This window comes from Homo sapiens, chromosome 1 (genome assembly GCF_000001405.40).
Source record: "Homo sapiens chromosome 1, GRCh38.p14 Primary Assembly".
Classification (NCBI taxonomy): Eukaryota; Metazoa; Chordata; class Mammalia; order Primates; family Hominidae; genus Homo; species Homo sapiens.
The window spans coordinates 91,450,952-91,458,453 of record NC_000001.11 but is presented as its reverse complement, the minus strand read 5'-3'; the positions used below and the strand labels follow the sequence as shown (position 1 = coordinate 91,458,453).

The following is a 7,502-nucleotide window of genomic DNA, read 5'->3' as shown; positions in this document are numbered from 1 at the left end:
TCCTGTAACTTGTTATCTTTCAGTTTCTATCATTAGAAAACATTAGAAACATGCAGGAGCTCAATTATTCCTCCAGGACATATGTGAATTAGATAATATACTTCAGTTCCTAGTGAGGAGATAAGAAAATTGAAGATCTTATTGGGCCCTCATTAAATGTCTCTTGCCAGTATTTCAAACACTTTGGGGAACATTCTCAGGAGAGAGTAGACTCTGCCTAGGGGAAAAAGAGTGGGAAATTAGAACAGATGTCATATTTTCCATTGCAAATAAGACCAGAAGATATGTTTTATTGGCTGAGTGAAGCAAAATCATTTTATTGGACCTCTCTGACACTTGGCAACACTGGAATCAAGTCAGTTCTTTCTCTTTAAAGCCAAGAAAGATAATAAAGTAGCAAACATGTGAGTAAACAGCAGGTGTGAGGAAAAAGCCTTGTCTTTTGGTTGATCTGTTCATTAACAGAATGAGATAAACATAGGCAAAGAAAAGGTAAAACAGTGCTTGTTAAAGGCAGTGGAAAACAGATTAGACAGCATGGTCTTTGTGATAATACACAACTGACTTTTCTCATAATAATAACAGCAGGACAAAGCATCTTATCTGGGTCCCAATAAAGTGCCAGGTGTTCTGCTAGGTGCTTTTACATGTATTACTTGAATCCTCACAATTGTCCATTGTATTATAACCTGAGTTTTGCTGGTGCTTGCTCTTACCTACTAACACAGGATATCAGCTCTTCAAAGCTCCCTCCTTTCTGCACGATATTTCTGGGAGTTCTCAGAAGGGACTTCACATGCATTCACAGACAGGTTCAACCACTGACCATCTTTGCTGGGTACCACTGTGTCTGTCATGGACAAATTGCTGCAGATTGTGGGCACAAGTATTGCTTTCCCTTGGGCTTTGGTGGATGTCATCACTGTCCTCCACTGCCACTCCTAATAGGTAGCATCTGCTGGACATCACTATTAGTTCCATTGGCTAGCACCATTGATGGCCGGAAGTGCTGAGGATTTCAGAGTTACATGGTGTTCTGTGGAGATGAAGGAGAGTATGCCTCTGCCACACACTAATAGTGGGCTGCCAGTGGAGCACAGCATTTTACAATGAATATGAGTCTCTCAGTTTTTGACTTCCTGTCTCTATCCCCTTTCTGCCAGAGTAGGTTCCATTTGACAAATTAGAAAGTGAGTCTCAAAGGAGTTAAGTAACTTGAGTTAGGTAACTTGCTAGAATCACATGGCTAGTAACTGGAGGAACTGAGGGCTGGACTTTGATTTGTTTAAAGTCTGAGCTTTTTCGATACACCCAATATACTATGCTGCCTCTCCATTCTTGGGTTCTCTTGGGTGCTTGATGGTTCTGAGGATTCCTTCTTTGGAAATTGAAACTCTCTCTTCCCTTTGCCTCCAAGCCCATACATACTCCAAATTATCTTCCAAATTCATCCTGCTTTGTTTTCTTCCCCAGATCCTCTTCTTCTCACCTATTAACCTATTGTTTGGCTCTCACCCTCTTTCCATCTTTCTTTACACTCTCCTTTAGACTCTCTAGTTTTGCCTATTGCCTTTAAAGAAACTTTCCCAACAACGTTCACTTAACATTTATTGAGCTCTTATTGCAGATGCTATGGTAAGCAATGGAAATAAAAATCTTCAAAGACAAGGAAGATAATAAAGTAGCGAACGTGGGTAAACAGACAGCAGGTGTGAGTAAATAGGAAGGAATTTATAGTCTAGTATGGAAAATACACTAATAATTAATTACAGCACTATATGATAGGTACTGTACTGCGAAAAGGCAGACATAGGGGGTGATGGGGCAACAAAAATCAGATTATAAAGGTAAAAAACCACAGGGAAGGGGCAAATAAATTACCCTGGGAACTAAGAGAAGTTAGATGAGCAGCCCTTGAACTGAGCCTTGAAGAGAAAGTTGGTATTAGATAGGTAAAGGATGGGGTAAAGGCAGAATGGGCTAAACAAAGGAAGCAACACTTACAGAGTCACACAGTCTTGAAGCTCTATTACCTGTTGCAGGAGCTGTAAGTAGTTCCATAAATTAAGGGTGTGTGGGAAGAAGTAAAAGGGAGTAGTATGAAGGTATCCACAGGCCAAAAATACTTCCAGCGGCTACACAGATAAAGCCAATGAGCGAAGCAGGCTGGGTAGATTACAACATGGAGAGTGAAGACTGTGACAAACCAGAGAGCACATATGCTGTCCCCATGAGTGACTGCTCCTCCCTCCAGCCTGAGTTGCCACTGTGAATACAGACCCAGATATGATGGATTGTTTTTTTTGTTTTTCAAGGGAAGCCTAGAATACAGATTTTTATGTGAATTTTCCCAATGATTAAAATACCATGTGGCCAAGCAAAATACATCTGTCTGCAACATATGGGACAAATCATGATGACCCATGTATGTTAAGATGAAGAGATTGAACTTCCTCCTAAACGCATTCAGCAGGACATCACTGGATGTTTTAAAGTGGGGATTTACATAATCAGACTTGAGTTTTGCAAAGACTACAGTTCACTGATAGAACTGTGAAGGATGGATCAGAGAGAGGCAAGACTGGAGAGTGAGTGAGCTGCTAGACATCTATAGTAGGAAACCAAGTGTAGCCATAAGAGCAGAAGCAGCAGTGGTGGAGAAAAGAGGGCAGACACAACGATGGCTTGGGATCTGCAGGGCTTGGTGACTGATTAAATAGGAAGAATAAAAAGATAGAGAAGAGGCAGAGTAATTTCCTTGCCATATGGGCCAATAGTTTTCTAGAAGCTGAAAAATATTTCCCCTTCTGCAAAAAGTTATGCAGTTCAGAAAGATAACAGCAAAATGTTCCAGAAAGTTGAGTCAAGGCTTGTGTAATGAAATGAAACCCAATGAGGGTGTTTATGAATGTGCTTTATGGACCCCACCCAGAGATTCATTGTGCTGGGTCCTGCGCTATCTCTTCTGCGTGATAGCTGGTTATAATCATGGATTGGGTTATTTTCCATCACGCAATTCTCCTTTCAGAATGTCTCTCTTTCTTACAGCAACCAATTTAGTTCACATCTTCAGGCCCTGGTTATTACAATAGCTACCTGGTTAGTTATCCTTATTCTTGATCTCCATTCTTCAGCTTGTCCCCAGGATGCTTCCTCTTTCCAACTATGACAAGATTAAACTCTTCTTCCTGGCTTTCAAGGCACTCCACAATTTGGCATCAACCCTTCCTTTGAACTGTATTCCTACATGCAGCCTGATTTGAATCCTATACCCTTTGTGAACTGGTCTACTCAAATCTCATTTTTGCCTTCAAGACTTGGCTCTGTTTGGAAAGCCCTAACTTCTCCCCTTGCACACAGGAAATGGTCCTTCCCCCCTGAAGTCCTCTATTTTGGTCTCATTGCTCCTCTTTCTCAGCTCCTAAAGCAGTTTGGACCTCTGCTAGATGGACCATAGGAAGAGTTCTTGAAGCCTTAAAATGCCTACCACATATAAGGAGTAGCCAGTCCCCTCTTGTGTATGCTGCAATGACTCCAGCAGGATGCTTCCAGTGAGCCCAACTCAGTGTCATGGTCATGGAGGAGTACACTGGATAGGGATTACATGTTCCAGAGGCAACTATATTTGGATTGAGTCATCTCTGAGATTACTTGTCACAAACCTGACCTCAAAGACATGTTTCAAATGATGGTTAGTCCTCTTTTTTGGGAAGGATAAAATGTTAGATGAACAAAGTAATTTGTATTTAGGTTGCTATCATGAGAAGAACGACATTCTTAATTCTCTGTGTAGCCATTACATTGACCAGTGCAAGAGGAATACCAGATCCAGGTACCCTGAATGGCTAATGAAGAAACTCCCTCTGCTACCCCAGATTCCAGCATATTTTTGCTAACAATCTGTATCACTAAAGGAAGTCTGTGCATGTCTTATGCTAAATCGAGCAGTTTTTAAAAAACTATAGTGTTGTTTCATGGGGTTTAGGCATCTTCCCAAGAAGACCTCAGAGATATTTCAAGTAGAAAGCACATGGGTAACTCCAGGCAAAAATCAGTTGGCTACCTTTCAAGAGGCTCTATAGGTTAGATTATCTTGGTAAATTTACCACAGCCCATGGTCTGGCTCTCAGTCTTGCGGGTTTTGAAACTGGATTTTATCAACACAATACAGATCTATTTGTCATTACTGGTTCACATTAATCAACCTACAAAGACTGGTGGAAAAAAACAGAACATCTGGTATTAGTAACTGTCCTAAGGACTGGAGTATTTTCTAGGAACATGAAATCTGAGTAAGAATTAGGGTAAGGAGAGTTCCATGTATCATAATGTTCATGAGAGGGAAATGGGTGAAGGTAATGTTATTGCCAAGAACTGCACATGACCTGCAGCTGACATTATTGCTGGGGCAGCTGGCAGTGAACTACTATCACTGGTGGGTGTTTATTCCAGATTTGATAGTCTTTCTTCAGCTCAGTGTTTGGCAATGAATGATCTATAATAGAGATATATCCATCCCAGGAACCAGGTACTTCTCTCTGTTGCTGAGGGTACTCTTTCTACTAAATGACGACAATGATAAATCACATCTAAGAAGTTGAATGATTGATTGGATGTGGTGAATGAGGTGAAAGTAAGAGTCATAACCCTCCCCTCCCCCCAGTTCTTTATGACTTGAGTAACTCGATGTGTAATGGAGCCATATGATTGTTCTCTAAGAGAATAATAGTTATCCGTTTTGGACATACTCAGTGGTTTAGGGATGCCTTTGAGACATCCAAATTGAAATGTCCTATAGGCAGTTCTATATTCAGATATGTTAACTCGCAAGCTTAATCTGCACCAGAGAGATAACTTTGGGATTTGTCAGTGTATAGATAACTAAAGCCATGTGAATTGATAATATTTCCTCAGGGAAATATTAAAGAGAACAGAGAGTAGAGGGCCTAGGAAAGAATTCTGAGGAATACCAACATTTACTAGTTGGTTAGAGGATGAGAGACTGACATAAGAGACTTAGTATAGCCAAAAAAGTAGAAGGAGAATCAGCAGTGTGTGCTAACATGGAAACCAAGACCAGAGACTATTTAAAGAAAGGTGTGTAGGCGCTTCCTGAATGGTGATGTAAATTCCAAGCATAAAATGGCTGTAGCTCTGCATAGAGTTAAGTGTCTCAAATTTAGCAAGATTCTACCTGAGCAGACATGGTCACTGGCAGCAGTGTTCCCTGTTAGGGACCTTAAGGAGCCTTGGAAAAATCCTCTGCATCTATGCAGCATCTGCCCTGCCATGGCAGGGGGCACTATGTTTGGTCTGCATTTATGTATAATTTTCTATATAAATAAGAGAATGAAGAACTTCATTGGATTAACAACAATATAACTAAAAAAAACTTGGTATTCAGCAGTATCTGGATCAAATGTCTTTGGTGAACTTCAGCATAGCAATGGGGGTGGAATAATGAGAATGGGCTGAGAAACCAAAGACTTGCTCCTAAAAGAAGGGTGTGTGTGTGTGTGTGTGTGTGTGTGTGTGTGTGTGTGTGCATAAAGCAAATATATACTACCAAACATTAGGGGAAGAACTGGATCAGAGTGTTGCAAAACACCCTTTGAAAAGTTATTTTATACTCAGAAATTTTACTTTAGTATGTTAGTTTGATCTTTCTTTTCAAGAGCCATTAGTGATGGCTTTAAAAAATTAAGTCTGAAAATGCTGAACTCTTTCTGGGAATATTTGATGCCTACAGAGTATGGCTTGGAACCCTGACACCAGAGGAATGTTGTCGTCATTGATTAAAAGCGAGTAGCTGCATATGGCCTGTCCACATTAAACTAAGGTCAAAGTTCAAAACTCAGAAATATTAAACACACACTTAGGATGACATCTGACAACCTCAGTCTGCAGGATGGAACTCTAATAAAAGTTAAAGGACCATGTGCTGCACTCAGCCACACACTCAACTCCCACTGCTATTGAGAGACATCATTCTTGGCTTAAACCAGCAAAGCGGGATATGAAGGCATGCCATTCACTTGTACTCCCTTTGGGAACAAATTAACTTTGAAAAATTCCCAGAGATGTCTGATTCATGAAGGACCATGTAAAAAGGAAAATCCAGATGCTTCCATGAATAGTAGGGCAGTAGACATTTTCTCCTCTTGGGGTGAAGAGGATTGGAGGGGTTTGGGGGCAAGGGGGCAATTCTCCTTAAACAGTCATCCCCACACCCACATGCTCAAAACCATTTAAAATGGCTCTCCAGGCTTCATATTCTCTTTCATCTAAACCCATAATTAAGAATGGCTGTTTTTAACTCACTTTCCAAAGAACAAGGGTGCCGTATACCAGGACGTGGTAGCTACTGCGGTGCAATAACCCCAGAATTGCAGTAGCTACTAACCTGTTTTCCTCTTGTACAATTTTCATTCATCTCTGGCAAGCAGGCAAATACTAATCCGTACTGAGACCTGGAAGGTATCCCAAAGGAATCAACCTGACTCCATGCTTTGCCTCTCTAAAATACCCCTAAATGGGACTGTGTTACTGGTGGGACCTCACCGTAATTTTGTAGAAGACCAGAGGCTTTGGCATCAGACAGATCTGGTTTCAAGTCCTAGCCCTGCTACTTGCTCTCTGTATGAGCACTTTGCTTTGCCTTGATTCCTGTTTCTTTATTTGAATAATGGGCACAAATAGGGTTATTGTGAGAATTAAGTGAGACAATTCGTGTAAAATCCAAACACAGTATCTGACATAGAGTAAGGGCTCTGAATAAATGTTAACTGTTAGATATATTAAAAGGGCTGGAAATTATTATAAATTTAGCACAGTTGGAAATAATATTTCAAGTGAAAAGCTATTGGAATCATAGGTTTCTTCAAAGAGCCTCATACATAATAGAAATGCTTTTCTAAAATTTAGAGAAACTTTAAAGGAACTTTGATTATGATTTCTAAAAAGGCAAGGATTGAGAGACTTTAATAAGACATTCCTTTATCATGACAAAACTAGCCTAGGAAAGCTTCATCCAAGAATTGTCACAGCATCAATTTTAGGAACTCAGGTTGAAACAACATGCCTCCCCTGCCTCAACCCCACTTTGCATACATGATGATTATAAAATGAAATAAAATAACAAATATAATTATGCTGTGATAAAAAGCATTTTAAAACACAGTACAGAAATAAGTAAGATTTGGGACGGGCACGGTGGCTCACGCCTGTAATCCCAGCTACTCAGAAGGCTGAGGCGTGAGAATCGCTTGAACCTGGGAGGTGGAGGTTGCAGTGAGCCGAGCCAGCCTGGGCAACAGAGCGAGACTCCATCTCAAAAAAAAAAAAAAAAAAAAAGAAAGAAAAAAGAAATAAGTAAGATTTGAAATTTTATATGATAATGTACATTCTGGAGGCCAAAATTTTTCAAATACAACTTTCATTTTTAGAAAAGAGAAAAGGGAAAAGAATAGTTATAAAGTAAATGGAATGCATTTAGTTAACTC

At 40.2% G+C, this 7,502-nt stretch overlaps 1 long non-coding RNA gene across 1 annotated transcript; it reads right to left on the bottom strand.

Moving 5' to 3' along the window:
- Window positions 1-263: 263 nt before the first annotated feature.
- Window positions 264-2,191, bottom strand: LOC107985417 (uncharacterized). The gene is made up of 2 exons (XR_001737798.2): window positions 2,034-2,191; window positions 264-1,036 (listed from the first exon to the last, which is right to left on the bottom strand). It is a non-coding gene; the product is annotated as an uncharacterized LOC107985417 (long non-coding RNA).
- Window positions 2,192-7,502: the final 5,311 nt, after the last annotated feature.